This window comes from Homo sapiens, chromosome 15, assembly GCF_000001405.40.
Source record: "Homo sapiens chromosome 15, GRCh38.p14 Primary Assembly".
In the NCBI taxonomy this organism is placed as follows: Eukaryota; Metazoa; Chordata; class Mammalia; order Primates; family Hominidae; genus Homo; species Homo sapiens.
Genome location: NC_000015.10, coordinates 45,163,503 through 45,189,850, shown reverse-complemented (window position 1 = coordinate 45,189,850; position 26,348 = coordinate 45,163,503). Strand labels below are relative to the sequence as shown.

The 26,348-nt window shown below is 54.1% G+C and overlaps 2 protein-coding genes and 1 long non-coding RNA gene across 31 annotated transcripts in view, besides 9 other annotated features; 1 reads left to right on the top strand and 2 right to left on the bottom strand.

The window, feature by feature from the left end:
* The window catches only part of SHF (Src homology 2 domain containing F), a 33,903-nt gene extending 11,266 nt beyond the window's left edge, over positions 1–22,637 (top strand). For 2 of the 22 annotated variants that reach the window (NM_001394048.1, NM_001394046.1), the window contains 3 exons: positions 11,545–11,686; positions 14,426–14,632; positions 21,718–22,637. In NM_001394048.1, coding sequence (NP_001380977.1) covers positions 11,653–11,686; positions 14,426–14,632; positions 21,718–21,743 — 267 coding nt within the window. In that variant the 5' untranslated portion in view covers positions 11,545–11,652 and the 3' untranslated portion in view covers positions 21,744–22,637. Of the gene's footprint in view, positions 1–1,884; positions 2,398–8,643; positions 8,745–11,544; positions 11,687–14,425; positions 14,633–15,406; positions 15,657–16,134; positions 16,276–17,532; positions 17,705–17,772; positions 17,969–19,368; positions 19,634–21,717 lie in introns of those variants that run through there. The other 20 variants (NM_001394038.1, NM_001394037.1, XM_047433284.1 and 17 more) reach the window with 20 other exon arrangements.
* On the bottom strand, positions 1,033–11,547 carry LOC124903481 (uncharacterized). The gene is made up of 2 exons (XR_007064608.1): positions 3,393–11,547; positions 1,033–1,736 (listed from the first exon to the last, which is right to left on the bottom strand). It is a non-coding gene; the product is annotated as an uncharacterized LOC124903481 (long non-coding RNA).
* Positions 1,941–1,990: a silencer, noted in NCBI's record as "silent region_6401". NCBI's record gives its function as "represses an Ori minimal core promoter by ATAC-STARR-seq in GM12878 lymphoblastoid cells {active_cell/tissue: GM12878}" and the evidence as "EXISTENCE:reporter gene assay evidence [ECO:0000049][PMID:35858748]".
* Positions 2,905–3,457: an enhancer, noted in NCBI's record as "H3K27ac-H3K4me1 hESC enhancer chr15:45478592-45479144 (GRCh37/hg19 assembly coordinates)". NCBI's record gives its function as "activates a minimal SCP1, AML or CMV promoter by ChIP-STARR-seq in primed H9 embryonic stem cells {active_cell/tissue: H9 hESC(primed)}" and the evidence as "EXISTENCE:reporter gene assay evidence [ECO:0000049][PMID:30033119]".
* Positions 6,202–6,750: an enhancer, noted in NCBI's record as "H3K27ac-H3K4me1 hESC enhancer chr15:45475299-45475847 (GRCh37/hg19 assembly coordinates)". NCBI's record gives its function as "activates a minimal SCP1, AML or CMV promoter by ChIP-STARR-seq in naive and primed H9 embryonic stem cells {active_cell/tissue: H9 hESC(naive and primed)}" and the evidence as "EXISTENCE:reporter gene assay evidence [ECO:0000049][PMID:30033119]".
* Positions 10,197–10,703: an enhancer, noted in NCBI's record as "H3K4me1 hESC enhancer chr15:45471346-45471852 (GRCh37/hg19 assembly coordinates)". NCBI's record gives its function as "activates a minimal SCP1, AML or CMV promoter by ChIP-STARR-seq in primed H9 embryonic stem cells {active_cell/tissue: H9 hESC(primed)}" and the evidence as "EXISTENCE:reporter gene assay evidence [ECO:0000049][PMID:30033119]".
* Positions 19,674–20,276: an enhancer, noted in NCBI's record as "H3K4me1 hESC enhancer chr15:45461773-45462375 (GRCh37/hg19 assembly coordinates)". NCBI's record gives its function as "activates a minimal SCP1, AML or CMV promoter by ChIP-STARR-seq in primed H9 embryonic stem cells {active_cell/tissue: H9 hESC(primed)}" and the evidence as "EXISTENCE:reporter gene assay evidence [ECO:0000049][PMID:30033119]".
* Positions 20,277–20,879: an enhancer, noted in NCBI's record as "H3K4me1 hESC enhancer chr15:45461170-45461772 (GRCh37/hg19 assembly coordinates)". NCBI's record gives its function as "activates a minimal SCP1, AML or CMV promoter by ChIP-STARR-seq in primed H9 embryonic stem cells {active_cell/tissue: H9 hESC(primed)}" and the evidence as "EXISTENCE:reporter gene assay evidence [ECO:0000049][PMID:30033119]".
* Positions 21,637–22,138: an enhancer, noted in NCBI's record as "H3K4me1 hESC enhancer chr15:45459911-45460412 (GRCh37/hg19 assembly coordinates)". NCBI's record gives its function as "activates a minimal SCP1, AML or CMV promoter by ChIP-STARR-seq in naive and primed H9 embryonic stem cells {active_cell/tissue: H9 hESC(naive and primed)}" and the evidence as "EXISTENCE:reporter gene assay evidence [ECO:0000049][PMID:30033119]".
* Positions 22,130–22,219: an enhancer, noted in NCBI's record as "active region_9350". NCBI's record gives its function as "activates an Ori minimal core promoter by ATAC-STARR-seq in GM12878 lymphoblastoid cells {active_cell/tissue: GM12878}" and the evidence as "EXISTENCE:reporter gene assay evidence [ECO:0000049][PMID:35858748]".
* Positions 22,420–23,219: a silencer, noted in NCBI's record as "silent region_6400". NCBI's record gives its function as "represses an Ori minimal core promoter by ATAC-STARR-seq in GM12878 lymphoblastoid cells {active_cell/tissue: GM12878}" and the evidence as "EXISTENCE:reporter gene assay evidence [ECO:0000049][PMID:35858748]".
* DUOX1 (dual oxidase 1) overlaps positions 24,277–26,348 on the bottom strand; it is a 35,581-nt gene continuing 33,509 nt past the window's right edge. For all 8 annotated transcript variants that reach the window (XM_047432690.1, XM_047432691.1, NM_017434.5 and 5 more), the window contains 3 exons: positions 26,164–26,319; positions 25,933–26,061; positions 24,277–25,072 (listed from right to left, as the gene is read on the bottom strand). In XM_047432690.1, the coding sequence (XP_047288646.1) occupies positions 24,950–25,072; positions 25,933–26,061; positions 26,164–26,319 (408 nt within the window). In that variant the 3' untranslated portion in view covers positions 24,277–24,949. The remainder of the gene's footprint in view (positions 25,073–25,932; positions 26,062–26,163; positions 26,320–26,348) is intronic.

Below are 26,348 nucleotides of genomic sequence, written 5' to 3'. Positions count from 1 at the left end.
AATTTGCACAAAGCAGGAACTCAACAAATATTTTGAGACTCGGGGCCCTGGGAATCCCAGGAGATTCACAGTTTTGCCATTACATCCTTCTTTACACCCCCCGCTTTGAACTCCTTTCCTTTGGGGCCTCTTGGCTTTTTGCGCCCTCAAAAGGCAGATATGGCCAGGTGCCGTTGGCTCACACCTGTAATCCCAGCATTTTGGAAGGCCGAGGTGGGGAATCACTTGAGGTCAGGAGTTCGAGACCAGCCTAGCCAACACGGTGAAACTCCATCTCTACTAAAAATACAAAAAATTAACCAGGTGTGGTGGCGCACGCTTGTAATCCCAGCTACTAGGGAGGCTGAGCTGGGAGCATTGCTTGAACCCGGGAGGTGGAGGTTGCTGTAAGCTGAAATCGTGCCACTGTACTCCAGCGACGGAGTGAGACTCCGTCTCAAAAAAAAAAAAAAAAAAAAAAAGGCAGACATGAACCTAGGAGTGCGGAGACACTGAGGCAGTGGGGGAAAGGGGGTGGGGTAAAGTGAGGTGAGACAGCTGCTTTCCCAGCAGAGCCAAGAGCAAATGTGTTGGTGTTGGCTTCAGGCCTACATTTATGGTGAGGAACTGGCTTTATTTCTTTCCTTTTCTTTTTTCTTTTTCTTTTTTTTTTTTTTTTGAGACGGAGTCTCACTCTGTCGCCCTGGCTGGAGTGCAGTCGCGCAATCTCAGCTCAATGCAACCTCTGCCTCCTGGGTTCAAGCGATTCTCCTGCCTCAGCCTCCCGAGTAGCTGGGACTACAGGTGCCCGCCACCACACCCGACTAATTTTTTTGTATTTTTGGTAGAGACGGGGTTTCACCGTGTTAGCCAGGATGGTCTCGATCTCCTGACCTCGTGATCCTCCCGTTTCGGCCTCCCAAAGTGCTGGGATTACAGGCGTGAGCCACCGCGCCCAGCCGGAACTGGCTTTATTTCTAAGACAAAAATGCCTAGCACTTGAGCATCTGAGCCTCAAGAGGATAAGGAGTTTGTGATAGACAACACTGGGACTGTTTCTAGACTTGATTTATTGACTTGTCTGTTTCCATTCTGTTACTAATCTGATTGACAATGAAGCCCGGGATGTGGCTGGAAGGGATTTCTGCGTGCGTGCGCATGCTATCGTCAGGGCCATGTGGGCCCGTTTGGAGCAGGTGCTCCCGTGGGTGGGGGATGTTTGAGCGAGGGCTGTTTGCGTGTGAGAAGGGCGTGTGTGAAAACGACACGGGAGAAGTGGGCGTCTCTAGGGAGTTGTTTGTATGTGATGTGAGATGTGTTTGCCTGGATCGGGAAGTAACGTAGGTTCGGGTATGTGCAGTGCGTACGGTTGGATGGGAGGAGGTTGTGGGGCTCCCAAGGTAGCACGGGAGGAGGAGGCTTACAGACACATCTTACAGAACCTAGCCCCTTTTCTTGCCCGCCTAGATTTTCCTCCTAGATTATAGTTTCCCAGTTGCGAGATCCTGGGAGAGGGAAGAGGAGAGGCGTAAGGCTCCCTAGAGTCAGGAGTCTGGGGGCTCCCCTCTTTGCGTCTCGCACGAGCTGGGAGCTGGGGAAAAGAACAGATGGGGATGGATGCGCTCCCCACAGGGGACCGCGTGGCGACACGTAAAGGATTCAACCTCAGTCCAGTAGTCGCATCCTCTGCCCCAGGGCTGCCCACTTCACTTCTTGCCTGTGCATACCGGCTGGAAGCCCGCGTACACTCTTCCGAGCTACGGGAGGAGGAAGACCCTGTTAGGGAGCGGAGCCCCGCCTCTCCCTTGTTACTGAAGCGCCCCGCCCCCTCCCCGCCCGGCGGAGCCCCGCCCCCCTCCCCACCCCCGCCCCCGCCCCCCACCCGCCGCTGCGCTCCCCTCGCTCAGTCTGGCTGGCCCCATGTTACTGAGCGGAGCTCCTCCGGCTGGCTCCCGCCCGGGGCCGCGAACGCAGGGGAGCGCTGGGGGCGGCCCGGGGGGGTCCCGCCGGGGCGCCGGGGGTGCGGGAGCCGGCCCAGGAGGGGGCGGCAGCGGCGGAGTAGCCAAGTGGCTCCGGGAGCACCTGGGCTTCCGCGGGGGGGGCGGCGGCGGAGGGGGCAGCAAGCCGGCGCCCCCCGAGCCCGACTACCGCCCCCCTGCGCCCTCTCCGGCCGCGCCCCCCGCGCCGCCCCCGGACATCCTGGCCGCCTACAGGCTGCAGCGGGAGCGCGACTTCGAAGACCCCTACTCCGGGGGGTCGTCCGGCTCCGCCGCCCTCGCCACCCCTGTCGCCCCCGGACCCACGCCGCCCCCGCGCCACGGCTCTCCCCCACACCGCCTTATTCGGGTCGAGACCCCGGGGCCCCCGGCGCCGCCTGCTGATGAGCGGATCTCCGGACCCCCCGCCAGCAGCGATAGGGTGAGTGCCGCGCCGGGCCGGGATGGCCAGGAGGGAAGGCGGTCAGGGGTCTGGAGGCTGCGAGAGGGACAAAGGTGGCCTGGCCCGGGCCCCTCGGTGTCTCAGCTTCTGGCAGACGCGAGCCCCTGACCCCGGGGTTCCGAGCCTTCACCCACCTTTGTTCAGATTCTCAACCGACTAATCTGAGACGGAAGCCCCAAACTCTGCCCCTCTGCCCTATCCTTTGTAATGGCCCCAGAACTGGTGACCCTCCCCCTCCCGGGCTGGCTCTCCACTTCGTAGCCCCCTCTAGCCTGATCCATGAGCCTTTTGCTAACGGGAATTGAGGCGCACCTCCCAACCCCCACTGGTTGATGGCCTTTCTGCCCCTCTGGAAGCAGCGGCTCAGTGCCCTTTGATCTCTGACCCTTCCCCCTGGGCATAGCCAGCACAAAGCTCTTCCCTCCTGTTGCCTCTTTGCTTCCTCCTCCTCTTCCTCCTCCTGTTTCTCCAGCCTAAGCATCCTTGCAGGTGCTGAAGCCCCAGAAAGGAGGTGAAGACGGGTTTCTCCTTGCGGACACAGCACGAGCTGGCCTTTGCCCTATAGGCTGTTGTTCTCAGGAGGCGAAGACAGGCAGCTTACAGCTCTTGCCAAGGGGGCTTCGTGGGGTCCAGGCCCACTCCTCCCTCCTTCCCTCGTCCTCTCAGGTATGAGGATAGTCAGTGCTCAGGACCTGTTGCCCACATGGGGCTAAGCAGCTGAGCCCATTCCTCCTCTCCTCCTGGCCTCCCTCTCCCCCTGGTCCATTCTGAGGGAGGCTGGAGCTTTTCCTGGGTCTGCAGGCACCAGGATAGGGAGGAGAACAGGAAATCCACCATGCCTCAGGGCCCTGCCCTGATTCGGGTTGGCCTTATCCCTCCCTGGCAGAGTGAGAGCTGAAAGCCATCCCAGGCCCCTAAATTCTGTGATGATGACTCTGTGGGCTGCCTTGGCTCTGCTGTCCTTCTTCACTCACCCCGAGAGCTCAGTTCTGGGGCCTGCCCCCTTCTCCTCAGCAGAGAAGAACATTTTTATTTGATTGGAGTGCAAAGTTGCTTTCCGAATCCGTTGGCTCCAGGATTGAGGCTTTTTAGCTGAGAGAGCGCCGTTCCGCCAGATTTCCTGGATGAGAGAGATCTGTCAGGGTCAGAGCAGAAGCCTCAGGAATGCAAATTATTTTTCCCCTAGTTTTTGCCATGGGGCATGGCTGCCCATCCTGGGCCAGGATACTTATTCTGCAGAGGAAGGTTCAAGGGCACTTCTCCAAGGCTGTGCTCGTCTGCTTCTTGTCCCCTGCTATTGTGTGATGTGATGGAGGTAGTGACAGTGAGACAGAGGAGAGGGATAGGCCCTGTTCTTCCCACTGACCAGTCAGTCTCCTCCTCTCTAACCACTGCCTGTTTGGCACAGGCAACATGGGCCTGAGCTGTCTTTGGCCCTTCTCCTCTCTACAGTGGCTTGGATGCCCTAACAGGCTGCCCACCAAGCCATGGGCTCCTCCAGGACACAGACCATGTCTTCTTGTGTCTCCCAAGTGCCTGACACAATGCTTGACATAAAAAAGGGTACATAAATATGTCCTGAATGGTGACTGTCCATTATCAGGGTGGCGTGAGGGTCGGAGACTCCCCTAGCCACAGCTTCCCTTGCACATTTTCCCAGACACCCCCAAGGAAGGGGTGCACCCACACAGTTCTATGCAGAGACTCACAGCCTCTTCTTGCCAAGGGCCTCCATGCCTCAGCTTGGGTCAGCTCTGTGATCTGTGTGCTGTTCAGACTTAGGGGCCAAGAGATGTCTGACTCCTTTGTCAGCTACAGGGACAGGAATGAAATCCAGCAGGCTCTCCCAGGAGCCATACAATCTGTGGTTTCTTTAATGGGTGTGATGAGAAAGACCCAGGATGCCATCTGAGTTGGCCCGGGGCAGGGATGCTATCTCTCTGGGCCCTGACCTGGGGCCTCCCACCATTTAGAGAGAGCAGCTCCCCACCCCTTTAGGAGCAGAGTTTGGGGTCTGAGTCTTCCCCTAGGAAAAGCTCAAACAAGGTACCTGAGTCCCTTACCCTAAACCTAAGAGATGCTGCTCCTGGATGTGAGCTGGCGCATGCCCCTGTGGCCCAGTGGAGCTGGTGTTTATGTACTATGTGGCCGCTTTCTCCCTGTTTTCTGTTCCTCCTTCTCTCAGGCCTTCTGGCTTGCTTTGAGGTCTCCTCCTGACATGTGATGAGGCCTGGGAACAGGGATGTGCTTTGTGCTGGCCTATTCTCTCCTCTGGAGCCCAGTGGCTGGGGCTGGGGGAGTCAGAACCCTCTGAGAAGGGATGGGTCATGAGATTTGATGAAATGGGTGGAGGTGTTTCTATGACAAGCCAGAGGGATTGAGCAGAAACCCAGTTAGTATGGGGGCAGGAGAGAACCAGGTCCTCGACAGTACCGAGAGGCCCAGGGGGTTCAGGACCATTAGCCTTCTCCCCATGTGGGGTTCTGGCTGCCAGCCCACCCTGGGACCCACTGCCGTAGTTGGCAGGGGTGCAGGGGTGGCCATCTGGGCAGGCCTGGCAGGGCAGGTGTGGGAGCAGCAGGAGCCGCGCCCTGCAACGGGCAGGCAGGGCCTTGCCATCTGGCCAGAGGAAGAGCTTCACGGTGCTGGGCCCTCGTCTGGCCCCCAGGCCATGCTCTGGCAGTGGGGGCTAGAGAGCTGGGCCCCTTGCTTTGCTCCCTTTTCTCAGACCTTTAGCAGGAAAAACCTGGTGTAATTAGGGAAGGGGATGGATATGGGAACAGGGCTCTGATTGGACAAAGCTCTCAGCTGCCTGTGACCATCTGTGCAGTGTGTCCTTTGCCTCCCTCATGCCAAGATACGTGTTTGGGGTTGGGTGGAGAGGTAACACGGACAATGAGACAGTCAGGCACCCTGGATTACAACCAGGGCTCTTCTTAGCTCATGGAGAGGTTCCTGGGCTTCATGAACCGCCAGAAATTGTGTGCAGATATTTCCTATTTTTCTGGGGAAAGGTATAGCTCTTAGATTCTCGTAGGGTTTCACAGGCCCCAAAATATTAAGAACTTTAAAAAATAGATGTACTTCATAGATGATATCCACAGGACTTGGGTCCTCCAGGCACAGATTTGGAAAGGAGTAAACAGACAGAGATAGGAAGAGTAAAGTGAGGGATACAGTCAGGGCATCTAAAGTTGAACAAAATATTCCTGCCCTGAGGTTAGGAGGATTGGTAGGGGCTGCCAGTCAATGTAAGACCATCTCTTAGCCAGTGTTCATTAAGTGTATGTCATTAGGCGCTGAAAGGGACACAGCACCTGGAAGACCTCATACTTGCCTTTTTGGGGTTTGTTTGTTTGCTTTAATGTTTCTTCTTAAGACTTCCACAGAGTCTGTAGATCCAGTCTGCTTATGTTGCAGATGGAGATAGAGGGAGGAGGAGAGTCTGGGGAAGGGAGGGAGGAGAAGGTAGGAGTCCAGGTGAAGGAACTTTTGTAGACTAGTTAAACCTCTTAAGCCTCTGTGGCCCAGGCTGGCCATCTGTGCTGCCGTTGCTGCTTTGAGGATGGCTGAGGCCTGCAGCTACTGGGGGATTGGATGGCAGGCCTGTCCACTCTACCCAGTGCTGTCACCCCACATTGTGGCACCAACTCTGTCTGGAAGACATCTGTGCTTCTTACCTTGGCCAGTGAGTGACTCAATGACAACTCAGCTCTGGCACTTTGCCTCTTGGGAGCCAGGAACAGCTGGGACCCTGAGGACCATGGGTGGGAGCTACTGGCTAGGCTGAACAAGCCCTGGCTGGGGCCCAGGACTTGGAGGATACCTGCTGCCCACTCCATTAGCCCTCACCACAGAGTCAACATATTATGTGAGAGCAAAAGTGGGGCCCAAACCCTGCATACGGTGGGCCTGTGGGTGCCCCCAGAGCCTGGTGCCTAGCCTTAGGGCTTCACAACTTGGAGCTTATTTTAGGTCTATCACTGTGGGCCTCCTCCAGAAGGACTCAGAAATTTGGTCTTTTTGTCTTTAATAATATAGTGGCTAACATTTACTAGGCACCTACCTTGTGCCTGATACCATTTTGAAGCAGCTGACATGTGTTAGACCAACTGATCCTTAAAACAATCCTGTGAGGAAGATTCTACTACTATCCCCAGATTATAAATGGGGAAACCAGAGCACAGGAATGCTGAGTCACACTTGCACGGTTTCTCAGCCAGCAGGTGGTAGAGTGAGCCCAATGCCTGGACCCTCAGCACCTACCAGCAGGTGCCTGGCAGAGAAGAGGTATTCACTAAGCATTTGCTAATGAACAAGAGGAAGCAGACTCTTAGGGAAGGAATGAGGGGTGTGTTCTGTACTGAGTTTACTACTTCCTGAATGCTGGGGACCACCACTTGCTACCCAATCCCAAGGTGACACCAGACACACCCAAGGGTCTTATGAGGGTTGCTAGGATCTACTGCATGTCTGTAATGTTTAACTGTTTTATGAACATGGCATTGTTCTTGTAATTAGAAAAGGGAAAGACATTTGTTTTATGTCAAGGGATTTCTCAGATAAAATAGGAGAAGGACATTCCAATAAGCAGGAACAATGGGTATAAAAAGTTTGATCTCGAGGAAGGTAAGTAATGTACCATTTCCCAAACTGTGACAGGTTAATAGGTTTTCAGTGACAAAGGGCTTCCATGGTTAAATATTTTTGGGAAATTACAGAATTAAACAAAAGTAGACTGATTTCTTTGCTGCAGGACTCCTTAGATTTAAAGTGTATTTTAAATCTACAAATAGAGGAGAGAAGATGCTGCATTTTCCAAATGTTTGAAAAATCTATGATAACATACTACAAGTCAGGAGGCCAGGGTCCCTATCTTGTCTCTGCTGCTGACAAGCTGCATACCCTGGACAAGCATCTAAACTCTGAGGCCTTAATACCTGAATAGAAAAGATTATCCTCAGAGCTAACATTTATTCAGCACTGACTCCATGCCAGCCTCTGGGCTAAGAACTTTTACAAATTCATTTTCCTCTTCCCAACCCTATGATATGGGTACTATTACCATCCTTTTTCTACAGATAAAAAGACAGAGGTCTACACATAAAAAGAGGTTTCCAGACACTCAATGTAAACTAAAGAAACAGAGGAAAGGGGCAGTGGGAGACTTTGGGGACCTTCCAGAGCAAGGCACACATTGTAACGTGTGCCCCTCTTGCTCCTCCTGGATCCACACCCTCTGGAGCCCCGTGGTGGGGGTCAGGGATGTGTTGCATGGCCCAATTGCAGAGTGGAAGAGGAACCAGATGGCAGGCCTGCTAGCTACCACAGGAGAGGCTTGAGCAGGAAGGAGATTCAAAGTATGACAGCTGCTCTGGGAGGGGTAATGCCCAATTGGAACAGACACAATATAGCAGAGTCCTGGAGGCACCCTGCTGGGTGGCAGGAAGGAGAGGGATGGGATCCTCTGGGTAGTAGCTACTTTACTAGTTTGGAAATCTTTCAGCATTTCAGCAGCATTCTGGCTATATCAGAGAATGTGCCTAAATACCAGCCGTGGTTTTATTTTTTATTTATTTATTTATTTTTAAGTTTTGAAAGTCTTTAATTTCACCCCTCCGCCGTGGTTTTAGGTGTCTTCCCCAAAGGTCCTTTGCGGACAATTCCTCCCTTTGGCCTTTGCGCCAGAGTCTTTGATTTCTATTCAGATGTAGATCTGCTGAGAGCCTGATCCTGCAGCCATTAGAGGTCAAGGTGAATGGGGATCTGAAAGGTGATGTCACTCCAGAGGATGGAGTCTGGAGAGGACGCCTGTTGAGCGTCCCTTAGTATACATTGAGTACCTACTGTGTGCCAGCCCTGAGATTGATGCAGGATACAGTAGTGAGCACATCAGAGTGGGGCAAAGGGACCATAAACAAAATAACAAATTAGGGTAGGTCAAAGGGGTCGGAAGCCTATAGGAGCAGCTTCCTCCACTAAGCAGTCTATCCTGGGGACCTAGAAGCCACAGGAAAGCAGGCCTGGGTTCTGCCCAGGAACTTCTATGCCCAGGGTGGGTGCCTGTCCTGCCATCCTTCCCAACTGGCATCTCTGCTGCTGCTCCCAACTCCCAGCCCTGTGGGCGGCTCCTTTGGGCATCCCAGCCCAGGGCGTGGGGCCGGGGCTTCCTGGAGCTGGGTGTGGAGCCAGGAATGGAACAGAGGAGCCATTGAGCTGCCCACAGAGTTGCCACCTGGGTGCCCATGGGCACTGCAGGCTAGAGCTGAGGAGGCCCACGCCAGCCTCGGAGGGGTCGCAGCTCTGGGCATGGGCCCAGGACTTGGGTAAGAAGGGTGCTGCCTGCAGGCTTGGTGAGGGAGAGGCCGAAGGGGCTCTATGGAGTGGAGGATTAGGGGTGGGGAGACTATCGGGGGTTGGATCAGGCACCTCTGCTGACCAAGCAGCTTCTGGTGACACAGCTTCACTTGGAAAGACTGTCCCCTCATATGATCCCACCCAATCCAGATTTGTGCTTCCTCTCCTGAATGAACAAGGAAAAGTACTTCCTTTGTCCATTCTTCCTGTTTTATGTGAATGGAGTTAACACTGTCAGGAATTTGAAAGTAAACATGGTTCCTGCCCTCAGGAAGCTCACAGTCTGCAGGAAGACATGGAACAAAACAAACATTTACCATGCAGTGTGATAATAGCCCAGCACAGAGACACCTAACAGGCCTGGGAGGTGTATGGAAAGGCTTTCTGAAGAAATAATCTATAAGAGTTAGCTCTTGAGGAGGAAGGGGAAAGTGATCCAGGCAGAGGGAAAGCCTTTGAAGTAGAAAGAACATGCAGCTTTCTGGTAACAAAGTGATCCAAGGTGAGTAGAGAGAAACTAAAGAGGAAAGTGGAAGCTTTCAAATCTCTTCAACTGCAGACTTTTTCCTGAAGCACTGGAGAGCCATCGCAAGGTTTATGGATAACGTGTTGGTTGAGTCAGACACTGTTAAGCAGCTGCCACAAGAGTGTGATGCTGGCTGCCGACTGACAGAATCACCGAAGGTGGGCTGACCACAGAGCCGCCTTGGTCAAGGGGTGGGGCTGTGGGTGCCAGTTGGCCTGGGAGGAAGCAGCTTGGGCGGGTAGGGGTGAGTGGATTTATTTTCTCTACTTCCTGGCAGAAGGAGGACTAGGGGTGAAGGGCTCCAAGGGGAGATAGGCGATGATCAAGGAGAAACATTTGTCTAGTGCCTACTGTATGCCAGGTGCTTACTGGAGCTGGAAAGACAAAAACAACAAAGAGCTCCAGATATGAATAGTCCAGTGGTGGTAATTGGATGATCTGAGATGGTGGTTATCCCACAAGCAGGCAGAGACGCAAAGGAGGTTGTAAAGGAGCTGAGGGCATGAATAGAACAAGGTGGGAGCTGAAGACCCCAGATGAGACAGTAGGAGCCATTGGGAGGTACCTCAGAGGGAATAGCAAGGTGGAAGGAACATGCAGAAGGGGTCTCCGAGGTGAAGAGGTTCCTTTCTTCATCTCTGCCTTGCTAGGGGTCACCATTCCCAGTTGCTCTAACCCAGAGCAGGCCAGTCACCCCACGGCCTCCCAGCCCAGCTGGCTCCTACAGCCCTGGTCTGGCTCAGAATCAAAGCCTAGACTGAGATTTAGGGAAAGGCAAGAGTGGCCTCTCCCCATGCTGCAGGCCCTGGAGCCACCTCCTGTCATCGCCTGTCAACCCAGTGGTGCAGTGCTCCTGGGGTGCTGGCAGCCCTGGGTGAACCGGGCTCAGTCTCTGCCTCAGCCAGCGCCCCATCAGGAGAAGCCCAAGCCCAGCTTGGAGAAAGGTTCTATTGTCCTCAGCTGCGCCCCGCCCTGAGCACCTTGAGTGCCTCTTCGGAGTGTGTGGTTTGCAGTTCACTGTGCGATGAATGGCAGCAGGCATAGAGGAGTGGCCGTGAGCCCACTTGTGTGGGAGAAAGGGGCAGCGTAGGAAGTGAAGGGCCAAAGTGAAGCCTTTCCTGTCCCTGCCCTCCAGGAGCCACAGGGACTTCAGCACAACTTCAGGTCTGTCCCAAAGCCGGCTCCAGCATTCTCTCTCCCAGGACAGCCAAGATGCCCCCTGGTGGCAGGTTGGCAGCCTTTTGCACAAAGGGCATGGGTTCCAATCACCTGGTTCCTCCACTTACGTAGAATGGTCCTGGACATGTTCCCTAACTTCCTTGAGCCTCTGACTTCTTAAAATGGGGACAGTAATACCCACATGACAGGGATGTTGTGAGGATCCGTCAGCAGAACTGAAAAAGTGACTACTCAGTCTTCCCTTCCTTGATGCTCAGCAGCTGTTTATTTGTTCACCATCTGGAAGCGCCCTTGTAGGCATGGACCATGCTAATCTCTGAGTTGTCTCACTATTCTTTGCTTGCTCTTTGAACTCTTCCAACACCTTTGTAACTGTTTCTCTGAAGTAATTCCCTTTGTTGAACCACCTGGTGTAAGCTATGGTCCTGCTTGGACCCTGACTTGAGGCAGGCCCTATGGCCCAGTAGCCTCCTCCTGGCCATTTAGCCTAGGAGATGGCCTAGAGGCACAAAATTAGTGGAAAAGATGTACCACTTGGGGCCGGGCGCGGTGGCTCACGCCTGTAATCCCAGCACTTTGGGAGGCCAAGGCGGGCAGATCACAAGGTCAAGAGATTGAGACCATCCTAGCCAACATGGTGAAACCCCATCTCTACTAAAAACACAAAAATTAGCTGGGCTTGGTGGTGCGTGCCTGTAGTCCCAGCTACTCGGGAGGCTGAGGCAGGAGAATGGTGTGAACCCGGTAGATGGAAGTTGCAGTGAGCCGAGATCACGCCACTGCACTCCAGCCTGGGTGACAGAGTGAGACTCTGTCTCAAAAAAAAAAAAAAAAAAGAAAGAAGGAAAGAGGTACCACTTGGTTGGCAGCCTAGTAGGGGAGCCCTGCAAAGGAAGAGCCAGAGCTTGTCCCCATCCAAGCTCAGAGCCTTCCTTTGAGTACCTGGGGGTCTGGGTCGAAGGCAGCCTACTTGGGACTCTTGCTCCCATGGACAGAGTACCTTGGGAGAAGCAGAGTTGCCTCTCTGCTCCCTGAAGCCCACTCTCTTCACTCTCCTCCCACAGCTAGCTATCCTAGAAGACTATGCGGACCCGTTTGATGTTCAGGAGACTGGCGAAGGCTCAGCAGGAGCTTCAGGAGCCCCAGAGAAGGTCCCTGAAAATGATGGCTACATGGAGCCCTATGAGGCTCAAAAGATGATGGCCGGTGAGTGACAGGGGCAGGGGAGGTGCTCCCTGAGGCCTGGGCTCTGCAGAACAGGCTTTGCGACTCACAAGTCTAAGGACTGATTCTTTGGTCCCTGGAAAATATGGAGAAAGTCTTTTCCAGGTCCTTAGGGAGGATGGTCATTGCCTTTCAGAGTCATTTTGGAGAAGCAGCTGTGACCTGTGAGACCTGAAGTGGTATAGGAGGCCACACAACTGAAGTTCAGATAGAAGTATTCAAGATAGGAAGGAAAAGAGTGGTGAGGGCTGGGAGGATCAGTGATCCCAAAAAGAGAACCACTAGCCTTGGGAGGGGGGATGAGTTTGAAATGAAACATCTTCATGGCAGTTGGAGAAAGATGACTAGAAATACAGTTACAGTGGGTGCCATGAGCCTGGGCAAGTAGTCCAAAGAGTGAGGCTAGAGAGAAAAGAGTAAGATCTGGTCTTGGGAACAGAGGCTGAGAGACAGTCCAGGGGAAAGAGATCAAATAGGGGAGATCAGAGAGGACAGGGTGGGTCTGTCCAAGCCACGGCCCTGAGGCAGGGTGAGAGGAAGTTTGTTCAGGAGCAAATGATGTTAGTGCTGGGTGTGCATGGGAACCTAGATGAGAGAGTCCGAGAGGGGCGGAGCAGTGCTTCATAGGCTGGAATGAGGTATCTGGACTTGCTTCAAAATGGGGAGTGGAGCCATGATGAATTCTTGAGCAAGAGAGGAACAGGATGAAAATGTCAGCTTTATTACTGATAAAGTTGATTAGAGAACATTACTTATGTTCACTGCAATGGGCTTATGTGTCATCACAATGGGCTTCTTAATACTTCACCACAGAATTAAACTTGCCCAATCAGGCTTGGGCAACTCAGTAGGCCTAGTGGGGGAACCCTGCAAAAGAAGAGCCAGAGCTTGTCCCCATCCAAGCTCAGAGCCTGCCCTTGGGTACCTGGGGCTCTGGGTCAAAGACAGCACAGGAGCAGGCCACTGACTGCATGAACCAGAATGTTCTTTCTCTTCAGGAAAAGAGAGTGTGCATTCACTGACCAATACAATAAACTGCTCTTCCTACTTGGGAGAGGTGGTAAGGGAGGCAGAGAGTGGTCAAGAATATCCCAGGACTATTATTCCATGGAGCTCTTGGAAACACAAGCCTGCAGAATGGAGGTTCACCCTAGCAGTAATCTATATACGGAAAGATGAGGGTGAAGGTCACTGGGTATTGGCAAAGAACAGATGGGATTTGAAGAATGAAGGAGGGCCAGGTCCAAGGAGAACAGTGTAGTAGACAGAAATGGAGAAAGTGAGAAGCTGACTACCCCATTTAGGTCAGAGGGTGTGGAACCCAGGAAGCCCCCATGAATGCCCTGAAATTATATGTGAAAATATGGGAGCACATTTTTTGGGGGAGTAGCTCCATAGCTTTTATCATATTTTCACTGGGGTCAGTGATCCCAATAAAAGAACTACTAGCTTTGGAGAAGGTGGTCAGTTTGAAACAATGGTATGTCAAAGCGAAAGGTCTTTATGGCAATGGACCCAAATGACTGGAAATACAGATGCAGCAAGTGCCATGAGGCTGGGCATACAGTTCAAGGAATTAGGATAGGGAAAAATGCATAAGACCTAGTCTTGGGAAAGAGAGGCCAAGAGAGGATCTAGGGAGAGGCCAAATGGGGGTGATCAGAAAGAAAGTCTTTGCCGGGTCCGTGGGGAGGATGGTCACTGCCTTTCCAATAGTCATTTTGGAGAAGCAGATGTGACTTGTGTGACCTGAAGTGGTACAGGAGGCCACACAACTGAAGGTCAGATATTAGCATTCGAGATAGTCAGGAAGGACAAAATAATGGTGAGGGCTGGGTCAGTGATCCCAAAAAGAGAACCAATTAGCTTTAGAGAAGGTGATGAGTTTGAAACCATGGAATGTCAAAGTGAAAGGTCTTTATGATGATGAACGTAACTTGTCGAAGGGAAAGTTTCAAGGAGCGGGTGGTCCACAGTGTCTGGGCAGCAAAGAATAATTCTGTGATTGTCAAATGATATCACTTGCGGGCTGGGTGTGGTGGCTAATGCCTGTAATCCCAGCACTTTGGAAGGCCGAGGCAGGCAGATCACCTGAGGTCAGGAGTTTGAGACCAGCCTGGCCAACATGGTGAAACCCCCCATCTCTACAAAAATACAAAAATTAGCCGGGCATGATGGCGGATGTCTGTAATCCCAGCTACTCAGGAGGCTGAGGTGGGAGAATCGCTTGAACCGGGGAGGCGGAGGTTGTAGTGAGCCGAGATCGTGCCATTGCACTCCAGCCTGGGTGAGAGAGCAAGATTCCGTCTCAAAAAAAAAAAAAAAAAGAAAAGAAAAAGAAAAAAGGAATGATATCATTTGGGACAGAAGGAAACAAATGGAGCTTGGCATCAGGGAGGAAGTGGACAACGGGAGGGTTGTGCCTCAGTTTCCTAAACTCATAAATTTTAGCTACCCAGCCCTCGCTGGCTGTTGCAGGATCCTTTTCCTGTCTTTTACTCTAGTGCCCACCTGCCCTTGCCTTCATTGGCTCCCTTGCTTTTAGAGACCCAGAAGTGTTTTGAGGGTGAGGAACCCAGGATGTGTGGTTGCTGAGCTCCCCCCAGAGCCAGGGCATCTCCTCTGAAGGAGGCCTGGCTTGTTGCTGAGAAGCATTGGAGGAGGGGAGCCAGAAAGCCAAGGCTGAACCCTCACCTTTCCCTTCCTGCCCTGCTCCGGCAGAGATCCGGGGCTCCAAGGAGACAGCAACTCAGCCCTTGCCTCTGTATGACACACCCTATGAGCCAGAGGAGGATGGGGCCACCGCGGAAGGTGAGGGGGCCCCCTGGCCCCGGGAGTCCCGCCTGCCAGAGGATGATGAGAGGCCCCCTGAGGAGTATGACCAGCCCTGGGAGTGGAAGAAGGAGCGGATTTCCAAAGCCTTTGCAGGTGAGTCCTGGTGGAGAGGGCAGGTCAGCTGGGGCCTCTGAGCAGCTTTCCAGGCTCAAGAGAATGGAAGGAGTGGACCCCAGGAACCCAGAGAGGCCCAGGATCAGGACTCCAGGGAAATGTAGTTGAGTTCTGTACCATAGGGGGTGGGGTTGGCAGTGTGGACACAGCGCTGTGTGCAGGGTCAAGGAATGGGTACAGGAGAAGGATGAAGGCATTCCCCTGCATCACCACCTCTTGGAAGCTAAGAGGCTTAGACTACTTCTCTCTTTTGGGGACTGGGTATATTTAAAAATAAATTCCAAAACAAACTTATGAAACTCGTGACATATGTTAAAATACTTACATTTAACAAAAGAAGGCACTTACTTCAAACAATAAAGACAGCTATGGGTGTAACCTGAATTCTAGGGCTCTGCCTCCCAGTGGTAGGCCCTGGCGGACCAGGGGTGTCTGGCCCCAAGGAGATTTCTGAGGAGCAGAGTGAGGCTGTGAGAAATCTCTTGATTGCCAAATGAAGATCAGGTTTCTTCTGTCCATCCCAAGTCCAAGTCCACCATGGAAAAGTTCATGTTAGTGGTCTGAGGTGGGTGGAGCAAGAGCCTGGAGTAGGGAGAGGGCTTTTGCTCCTGGGTCCTTGATTCAGGGAGAACATAAAGGGCTCAAATGCCATTCGACTTCACTCCTGCCTGCATATGCCCCTCTCCCCTGCTTGGGCAAGGGGCTCATCCTGGAGCTGGACCCAGCCCTCCTCTGCCCTCCCCACCCTGACAGCCAGACTGGAAAACCACAGGATTCTAATATTCTTCCTGTAAAGCACACACCATTGAGGATGGGCCGTTTATCTCCAGAAGTCTCCTTGGAGAATCAATACTGTTTGGATTGCTTAATGGGAAAATCTATGCTCGTCATTAGGAAACCTCGTTAGCAGTCCAGCAGCCGCCAGTGGCATCACTCTTCTCAGGATGGGGGGTGGGGATTAAATTTCAATAAAACATCTGCCCTCAAGTCTGAGTAATCCTGACAACCTGAGGCGAGGCTGGCTCTTTCTTGCTGCCTGCGAGTTCCCAGGCTGTGGGGAAAAGGAGAAAGGGAGGCAAGGCTGTGGGTGCCAGGAGGCTATGGGAACCCAGATGTGGTGTTGGGAGGTGCTGGTCACTCTTAGTCCTTCATTTCCTTTGTTCCTGGTACCTTTGGGCCCTGGAGGCTTGTGAGAGGTCAAATGAAGGGGACCCACGGGCTGACAGTGCAAGCCCCTGCATCCTGCTGCTTGCCACCCAAGCCTCCCTCCCTCTGACCAGGCCAACCTGGTGTGGTCAACGTTGGCTCTGCCCAGCCCTTGAGTGCCTCCCCAAAAGCTGACCTGCCTCTGCCTCTGCCTCTGCCCCTCCTCATTTCTAGGCTGTCCTGTGTCCTGGCTCTGGGTTTTGGTGTCTCAACCTCTACCTCTTTCTGTCTCTGTCACTGTCTGTCTCTCTTCTCACTTCTGCTGCTGGCTCCAGTTGACATTAAGGTCATCAAAGACCTACCTTGGCCTCCACCTGTGGGACAGCTGGACAGCAGCCCCTCCCTGCCTGATGGGGACAGGGACATCTCCGGTCCAGCCTCGCCCCTCCCTGAGCCCAGCCTGGAGGACAGCAGCGGTGGGTCCTGGGGGGCTTCTGGCCAGGGTGACATGTCCTCACCCCTCCAGGCCCTGTGGGTTGGGTTGGAGGAGCTGAGAGGTGGGGCAGGATTTGGAGACCCCAGGAAGAATCTCATTTGGGAAGAAGGAAGAGACAAAATGCACGTTCCTCCCTTCCCCACAGCTGTGGGATGGTGTCTTCTACAGGGAGGCCCCTTTCTAATGTGTTCCTCACCATGCTACAAAAATCCACCATTTTAAATTCACTTTGGGGAGAGCTTTGCTTGACAAGCTCCTTCAGCAATGCAAATACTCCTGAGCTGGGGGTGGGACAGACACAGCAAGTGTGGAACTCCTTGGCGCAGAGGAGCAGATCTGACCTTGCATCTGGTGACTGAAAGAGAGTAAGGGCTTCAAAGTGCTACAAGGAGAGAAAAAGAGCCCAAATGAGGAGAAAGAACGCACTTAATTCTTCCTCTATGTTCAGTTCTGCCCAGAATGGGCACCCAAGGGTGTGTGTGCAGAGGCATGAGCATCTGTTCGTACATTTGTGCCTGAATGTTGTATTTTAAAATATGGGATGAAGGAGGGTGTCTGTCCGTACGTGCACGTGCGCATGTGTGCCTGGGGACCCACGGGGGCTCAGCCTTCCCTTATGGGCTCAGCCATCAGGCTCCCCTGGTCTGGGAGGGCAGAGGTGCTGCCTCTGGGCCTCTGTGGGTTGGGGAGGGGAGCCAGTGGGCAGCAACGTTGGGGGTCGGGGAGGGACAGGCTGGCTGGTGGCTTTGGGCGGGATTAGCCTGTCAGGATGGCACCAAGGGGAACCAGATAATTGTTCTCAGATCGATAAGTCATTTCTACAGAATGGCTTGGCAGGGTGATTTGGAGAACGGTAATGAACTCTGAGGAGGAGAAAGAAACAATATTATCAGTGCTGAAGCCACCCTGAGAGGATGGACTGGGGGAAGGCAGTCAGCTGCTTTGGAGGGAGAAGCGTGCATGGTTTCTCAGGTTGCTCCTCTGCTCTCTCCTCCCACAATGTGGGGACTGCAACACCCTGTGTGGCACAGAAGGCTGGGCCCACCCCCACCAGGGGATAGATCCAGGATTACGTCCCCAGAGCCAGTCAGGCCCTTCAGCATGGGCTGCCCTCCTAGAGCATTCCTTTGATCCTTTCTGGGGCTGGAAGAAGTAGGGGTTGGGCACTGGCTATTCAATAGGGACCTCTGAGGACCTCTAGGGTCCTTAGAGTCCATGATTGATATGTTCCCCACAGCCCAGTTTGAAGGACCGGAGAAGAGCTGCCTGTCACCTGGCCGGGAGGAGAAGGGGCGGCTACCTCCCCGACTCTCTGCAGGGAACCCCAAGTCAGCCAAACCCCTAAGCATGGAGCCCAGCAGCCCCCTGGGGGAGTGGACAGATCCAGCACTGCCTCTGGAAAACCAGGTGTGAGTGTCTGTGTCCAGCTGGGGACTCCCTCCCCACTCCTCCCCTCCTGGCACTGGCTTCCCTACAGGGGACACCCACAATGGGTGGGCCTGGACAGCGAGGGACCCAGCAGAGATGCCCCCCTTCCTCTCTCTCATCCTTAGCTGGTATCACGGGGCCATCAGCCGAACCGACGCCGAGAACCTGCTCCGGCTGTGCAAAGAGGCCAGCTACCTGGTGCGCAACAGTGAGACCAGCAAGAATGACTTCTCCCTCTCCCTCAAGTGAGTGGGGACAGTTGTGGTTTCAGGGACAGCAAGCAGGGTGGAAGGGGACTCCAGTATTCCCCTTATGCCCAACCAAGCTGGGGAGGTCCCCATCCCCCATGAACAATCCCCAGGCACTGGGGGTCCTGAGATGTCTGAGACTCAGCCCCTGCTCTCAAGGAGCTCAGAGTCCATTGGGAGAAATAGTTGATCCGCAGCATCCAGCTCAGAAGGGTTCTGTTCTAGTTGTGTGGCCTGGCCCCCTTAACCTCTCTAGGCCTCAGTTTCCTTACTAATGAAATGGATGGGGGATAATATAGGGAAGGATTAGGTGAAATAATGCATGGGAAGTGCTTAGCATAGTGCTAAGGGCTCAATAAATTATCACTGTCATTATTAATGGAAGCCCAAGATGTTCTAGAAGCATAGGCAAGGAGATAGGAGCTTTGCGTGAGGGAGTCTGTAGGGTGTTGGGGGGGGCTGGTTCCTGGAAGGAGGGCAGGGCAGTGGACACAAAGTATTTCTGTTTACTCTGAGGAAGAGTGTGTGTGTCTGTGTGTGTGTTCGGGGATGGGGGGTGTCTGAGCTTTTGGGTCCTGGAAGACGTAGAGGAGGCAAGGCCCTCCCTCCCCATCAGGCTTTCCTCCCAGGAGCAGCAGATCAGCCTCCCAGACTCCCTGGTAGCATGGCCAGCCCTGCCCTGGGCAACCAGGAGTTCTGCCTGGTAGACCCTGCACCCCGTTAGGAAGCCAGTGGGGTGGTATGTTCATTTGCCCCCCACCATCACTAGTAGGACACCTGCACCACTTTCTACCACATTCTCTGGGACCATCAGAGTACAGATATACCCTCCCATTCAGACAAATCCAATCTATGGGAACTTGGGGCTGCTAAACAAGACATATTTGGGGGATAATTATTCAACTTCCCTCAAAGATAATAGAAAAAGTGGTGGGTGTGTTGGCTCACATCTGTAATCCCAGCACTTTCAAAGGCCGTGGCAGGTGGATCACCTGAAGTCAGGAGTTCGAGACCAACCTGACCAACATGGTGAAACCCCGTCTCTACTAAAAATACAAAAATTAGTTGGGTGTGATGGTGAGCACTGGTAATGCCAGCTACTCGGGAGGCTGAGGCAGGAAAATCGCTTGAACCCAGGAGGCGGAGGTTGCAGTGAGCCGATATTGCGCCATTGCACTCCAGCCCAGGCCAACAACAGCAAGACTCTGTCTCAGAAAAAAAAAAAAAAAAAAAAGAAAAAGATAATAGAAAAAGTGCCGGACTATAGTCAGGTAACCTGAGTTCTATTCTTGGATTTGATACACTAGCTATGTGATCCTAGGGAAATCACTTAATATCTCCGAGCCTCGGTTTCTACCTTTGCCAAATGAGTTGATAGATTATCGCTTTTTTTCCAGCTGTCATACTCTAGGAGTCTGAATTGTAAAATCAAAGAAGCATTTCCCAGAAAAGTTTTTGTCAAAAATTTGATTTACATAACCTCAGAAATGTGTATTGCTTTAAAAATTATAAAGTTCATGGAGCATACCAAGCAGCCTGTATACCATTTCTAAACCAACTACTCCCCTGCAAGATAGATCTCTTTTTTATAGACAGAAAATAAATTCAAAGAGGTTTGTTACTTGCCCAAGGCCACCCGGTAATAAAGTCCCCAAACCAGGATTTGAACCCAGCTCTGTCTGACTCCACAAACTATGGTATTCCAGGGCTCCACCAGTGCCATATTATTGTTTGGTACAGGCCAAGGTAAGGGGAGATGCCAGGGGTCTGGCTCCCAAAGTGGAGCCCTGCCAGCCTGCCTTAGCCTGGGAGGTAAAATGGCAAGGCAGGCCTGGAGACCTGCTCCCACCCTGGCTGACCTGGCTCCGCATCTGTCTGCCAGAGCCTCGTTTGCATATAAATGGCTTCTCTGAAATAGAATTATGGTTTCTCTTCTCTCACTAATGGAAGAGCTTTCACTGGTAATTAAACAACTTCCTCAAAAAGGCTTGCCAGCCTGGTCCTGCAGCCCAGCTGGTCCTAACCCCAGTACCCTGAGGGTCTGGCAAGGGCTTTGCTGTGTCCTAATGGACCCTTGGGACTTTGTCCCAGGAGGTGGGAAAGCACAGCCATCCCCTCTGCAGGAGGTTGGTTATCCAGATGGCGGCTGAGCTCTCTGGCCACTTGTCCTTCTTAGCCAGATCTGTCTTTTGAGAAGATACAATGTGCAGCTTTTAGGAGAGACAATTCCCCAGGTGGACTAAGGGAGAAGGGGTCAGCCCCAAACTGAGAAGAGGTGAAGGAAAGCAGGGCCCATGCTGCTGCCCACAGCCTTGAGCCTGACAGGGGACACTGCCTCCCCTCTCCACCACCCACAGGGGCTGTTTGCCTCAGGCCCTTGGCTCCTTTCCCCAAGGGCCTGTGCTGTCAGCCCTAGTTATCTCAGACCTACAGATGGCCCCGGCCACCCTGCACCCTGACTCCCAGCCCTGGGGCCTCAGGCCTTTTCCTAGCAGTCTGCTAGGCTCCTGAGGACTCCATGCCTGGGGAGGCAGAGGGATAGAGTTTGGGGCCTCCGTTTTTCCTCCCATCTGTCACCTCCCTTCAGCCTCCCCACTCTGATTTCTCGCTTGTGGGCCTGGTGAAATGGGTCCGGGCAGAGCCTTGTACCCAGTCAGGGGAGGCAAGTGATAAGGATTGCCAGCCTCACTTCTCCGGGGGGTGGACCTCAGGATGGAGGCAGCTCCCTCACTGGTTCTGCTTTCCACACTAACCTCTAAGCCCCGTCCTTGTCCCCAAGTAGGCTCTGGCCAGCAGTATATAACACTTAGGCTTCAGGGCTCCCCAAAACATTCCTCACCCCTTGCCTGTGCTTGAGTTTCAGACCTGAGGCCTGACAGACCAAGCCTGTGGTGGTTTAGACAAAGGTTCTTGGAGGTCTCACTCCCATGCCCTCTCATGGGCCGAGGGTCCCTGGACATTTAGGAGCTAGCCAGAGCTCTGAGCAGTGGGGTCCTTGTCTTGAGGGCGGGGCCAGGCACTAATGCTGATTTCCTGGCTGTGGCAGGGAGATGGCAGAGGCAGGAGCATGTCTCCTCTGAGCAAGGGAGTGAAGTCATTGTAGGCTGAAGGGCCGGATAAATGAGCTAGGGGCTTGGTCCAAGACCCAGAAAGCAAGAGAGTGAAGGGATATCCCCAGGAGGAGGCAGCTGAGCACTCCCAGATTTTGGGGGGTCTTCCAGATCAGCTTCCCCCTTCCCCCTAGTCATTAGAAGGGAGAGCCCCAATGAAGACTAGCTTGGTTGTCACATCTGTCCACCCTCCTGCCAAGGGCATATGTGGTTCCACATGAGTCACCAGGAGCCCCTCACGGGTGTCCTACCAAAGAGCTCAAGAAAGGTGAGGTTAAACTGGCCCTGGCCACAGAGGCTGGAGGGCCGGGGTGCCTGGACCCCAGGGTTGGCCAGCAGGGGTCGGGGGAGGTGCTGGTCGCTCAGTTTCCACCTGCACACACCCTGTATGCTCCCTATACACACATTCTTGGCACAACCAGTGGCCTTACCACAAAGCCAATGCCCAGTGCTACCTACTTACACCACCACCACCCCTGCTTTCTGGACTGACCTCCACCTCCCCTAATCACCTGTCATTCTCAGCTGGCTTCGGAACCACCACATTTGCTGTAGGGTTGGGGAGGGTTACTGGGTGGATGGATGAGGGGGCTGAGGAGAGCCCCCACTCACCAAAGTCTCCTCTCCTCTTCCCAGGAGCAGCCAGGGATTCATGCACATGAAGCTGTCCCGAACCAAGGAACACAAATATGTGCTGGGCCAGAACAGCCCGCCCTTCAGCAGCGTCCCTGAAATTGTGCACCACTATGCCAGCCGCAAGCTACCCATTAAGGGAGCCGAACACATGTCCCTGCTCTACCCTGTGGCCATCCGGACTCTTTAGATGTGAAGCCAGGGCACTGTGATAGACCTGTACCCAGCCCTGTGCCCATCACCTGGCTGAGGGCTGTGGCTCTTGCCAGGGACGTGATCTTTCAAACCTTTCTTCTCCTGGGATCCAGTAGAAGCTGGAGATTCCTTAATTTATTCTAAAGGGAAAGGGCTCCTGGGGCCTTGGAGTAAGGGGTTGTCTGGAGCTGGGGAAAGAGGAATCCCTGGAGAGAAAGGATAGCCCCTGGAGGAAGGGGGTTCCAGAGCTACTGGGATGGTAGGGAGTTTCAGACTGGCAGCTCCGGCTCCTTTCCGACCTTAGGGCAGAGGTGGTGACCTCCACCACCACCACCCTCTCCCCACTGGGTCCGTGCGAGGTAGTGCAGAATTCGGCCCCTTGGGGCGCCTTACCACCTCTCTGCCTCCGTCCCCGACTTCCACCCCAGACCGTCGGAGGGCTCCGCCCAGAGTCTGGTAAGAGGTTTGGGGAAGACAGGCCCCTGGGAAGCAGCCGGCTTTGGGGGGTGGGGAGAGAAGGGGAGGGGCTCGGGCAGAGGGAACTGTGCAGTCCCCAGGCCGCCCCGGCTCCGGGCCAGAGGCAATAAATAAACCCGATCCTGCCGGGCACAGCCGCGCCCGCGCCTCCGGCGCCGTCCCCGGGCTGACGGGGGAGGGAGCGGAGAAGCGAGCGCAGATTCTGCGTATAAATCAGCTCTGGAGCAGACACAGCCCGGCTGTGAAAAGCACTTTCGAAGCATCAAGTTCCTTTCTTTGACGAGATGTCAAAACATCCCCGCCGCCCCCGCCCCGGCTGGGGGCACCCGAGGCCCGCTGGCCGCGCGGCGCCCCCTCCCCGCGGCGCGCGGCTTCCCCCGAGCGCGTCCAATTTCCTGCCAACAGCCATTTGTCTGGGAGGAGGGGAGGCGCGGAGAGACAAAGAGGCAGCGCGCCAGGCCGGGGAGCGGGGCGGCCTGCCACGCGGAAGCCGCGCGCCGGCGGAGGCGGGAAGGCTGGCGGGACGGGCCGCGGGGGCCGCGCTTGTCTCCTTGGCCGAGGAACTGAGGGCCTGCAGCGCCTCCCTCGCGCCCTAACGGAAGGGTTTGTCCCGGGCAGACCCTCGGGCGTGGCCGGCCTGCGAGCCCCTAACCACCGGCCCGCGGCCTAGGCCGCACCCCGACCGGCGCCCACCGCTGGAACCCGCCCAGGCCTCTGGGCGGGCCCGGGGAGGCCCACTGGGTCGCCAGGCGGAGCGGCTCTCAGGCTGCCCCAGGCCCGCCCCACCCCGCGGGCAGGCTGGTCAGGACCCCTCGACATGCTGGACAGGCACCTTCGGGGGACCGCTGAGCCAAAGGGCCGTCTGAGGGCCTCTTCCAGAACCTAAACGTGCAACCTCCAAAGTGTGCTGTGAATCACAGTACTTGAGAGTTTCTAAACCAGTGGCTATTTTCTCGAAATTGAGGATATGTGGTATGCAGGCGTTTTGTGGAAGCAATAGGAAGGATCACTTAAAATTGGGCACTCTCTTGCCGGGCGCGGTGGCTCACGCCTGTAATCCCAGCACTTTGGGAGGCCGAGGCGGGCAGATCACCTCAGGTCGGGAGTTCGAGACCAGCCTAACCAACATGGAGAAATACCGTCTCTACTAAAAATACAAAATTAGCCGGGCGTGGTGGTGCGTGCCTGTAATCCCAGCTACTCGGGAGGCTGAGGCAGGAGAAATCGCTTGAACCCGGGAGACAGGTTGCGGTGAGCCAAGATCGTGCCATTGCACTCCAGCGTAGGCAACAAGAGCGAAACTCTGTCTCAAAAAAAAAAAGGGGCGCACTCAGAGAAATTCCCTCAGAGGGTTGTCCTGTCTTTAAGTCGACTTGGAGAGCATCCAGCCATTTTGCAGATGAGAAAACAGGCCCAGAGAGGTTGGGTGATGTGTTCATTTGTCTCCTGCTATCATCTCACTGCCTGGAAGAGCCATGTAGGCACAGGTGCCCAACTCTCCCTTTGCTCAGAGAAGGGCTGGGAGTGACTGAGGTCCTGGTAACAAGCCAGGCGGCTCTGGCTCCCTATAGACTCCAGCTGAGTCTGCCCCCGACCCCGTTCTCTTCCCCAGCCAACCTCCTCCAGAAGCTTCCACACCCTCTGTTTCTGCCCCTCCTGAGCAGGCTCACCAGGCCTCACACTAGTGGCTGACAGGCCCTCTGTCAGGAAGGGCACCCCTGGGCCGGGGAAGGGATTGCTAGCTGGGGCACTTTGCCTTGGGCCAGCTCCTTTACTCAGGACACTGGGCAGCTTGAGAGATGTCTGGGCCAGCCTGGTGAGCTGGCTGGGTTAGTGGCTTCCTCTCCCCATGCCCCTTCCGGTCCTAGGGCAGAATAAAGAAACCCTGAAGGCAGAAAAGTGATTTATTTGGAAGGGAGACTACTGGAGCAGGGAGAAGAGGGCTGAGGAGCATTGCATACATAGGTATTGGGCCAGGGTCTGATGAAAGAACGTGCTTAAAACCTTGGGTGAAATTAGTTGTGGTGTTAGACTGGGGTGCCGAGTGGGTTTCTGTAAATGGCTTGCCATGGGTCCAGCCTCTACCTCCTGCAAGGCATTTGCCAGCCCGTCTGACAGTGGGGAGCCCAGAAGAGGAGGAGGTATGGGAGTAGGGAGGGTTCTAAGATGCCAGCATCCATGCTCCCACTGCATCCTTACACTCACCGCCCCAACACACATACAGACATGCACACACATAGTACTTGTCAGGTCAGCTTGTCTTCTGAGATTTGTTTCTGAAGTCTGGAAGCAGAGGTTTCACTTTGCCCCAAATCAGTAGCTCCCCTACTTCTCACTCTAGTCCCTAGACACTGCCCCCCCACCATTTCTCCAGGCTGAGACACATCCTGGTCCTGGGGGTCCCTGAGCCCACACATGGTGACTGACTATGGCCACCTGGAACAAGGTTGGGAGGTGGGAAATCAGAGAAGGCTGAGGCAGCCAGAAATAGGAAGAACAGAGGTGAGGTGTGGGCTCAAACCTCTGCTCAACTGGGCAGTGGGCAGAACCCCCGGGCAGGGGCCTAGAAGTTCTCATAATGGTGGGAGAAGTGAGTCCGGTCCTGCCTGTTGATGAGCTGACAGGCCTTTTCCACATTCTTGGTCATGCCAGGGGGGCCACAGCTAAACACCCCGATCTTCCGGACCTGTTGCAGGAGGAATAAGTGGAGGCTAACTCTTTGCTCAGAGGCAGGGATAACGCAGTGTTCAGAGGAAGGGGTAGCTCCCTAGTTCAAGACCAGCCTGGGCAACATAGCAACATCCCTGACTCTAATTTTTTTATTTTTAATTAGCCAGGCATAGTGGTGCACTCCTGTAGTCCCAGCTACTTGGGAGGCTGAGGCAGGAGGATTGCTTGTGCCCAGGAGTTGGAGGTTACAGTAAACTGGTATTGCATCACTGCATTACAGCCTGGGCAACAGAGCAATACCCTTTCTTTAAATTAAAAAAAAAAAAAAAGCCAGCAGTGCTCCTGATGGTTTGCTTTGTACTATGCATGGTGAGGGCTGGCTCAGTGTTTATAGGTCTAGTGGAATTTTGCTAAGTGCTAGATCAACATTTCTAATAGAGGTTGGGTTAATCAGTGTTCAAGTTGAAGAACAGCTCAGGGTCTCATGGAGGGCTAGACCAGTATTTGTGAGTAGTGACTAGCCCAGTGCTCATGGTAAAGGTTCCCTCAGTGTCCAGGGTGAGGACTGACTCAGTATTGGTGAGGGTAGTGGTGAGGGTAGCCCCGAGTTTTTGGCGAGGACTAGCTCAATGATTGAGCTCTTCCTTCTGGACAATACATCTTGGCTTCAGAGATGGCAAGTCCCTATTGCCTGCCTCCTCCTTTAGCACCTAAGGGTGACACCCACCTATCCTTTCCATTCCATTACCCCACCAATCTCCCAGGGGATGGGTTCTCATCAGCAGTCGATTTCTTCCTCGATGGGGAAGGTTTGGGAGCTTTGCTCAGACCCCAAATGATAAAGAGGAAGAGAACCTGGTTATGGGTTGGACTGACCTGGGGGTGGACCTCCTGCAGGGAGTTGAAGAAGGGCTCAAAGGGGGGACGGCCAAAGTGGGTGATGGAGCGCAGGCCTGTGAATAGACTCCGGTTCAGAACCTTCTGGAAGTGCCGCTCACAGATGTACTATGGTAGGGAAGGGTGGAACAAAGTTCAGCCAGGCACAGCTAGGGTCAATTCCTAGCTCAGACAGTGGCCCGCATACCCTCCTGGTGGGCCCTGACATACCAGCATAGTGGTCCTGAGGTCGAACTTCTCAGCCAGCTGGGTGATGTAGATGTGCACAGACACCAGGTCCTGGTGGTCATTCTCCTCCACCTCTCGGATGATGTCAGCCAGCCACTCAAACTGACGCTGGGTCCGCGTCACCCAGATGAAGTAGATCTGGGGACACAGGGCTGGAGTTCAGGACC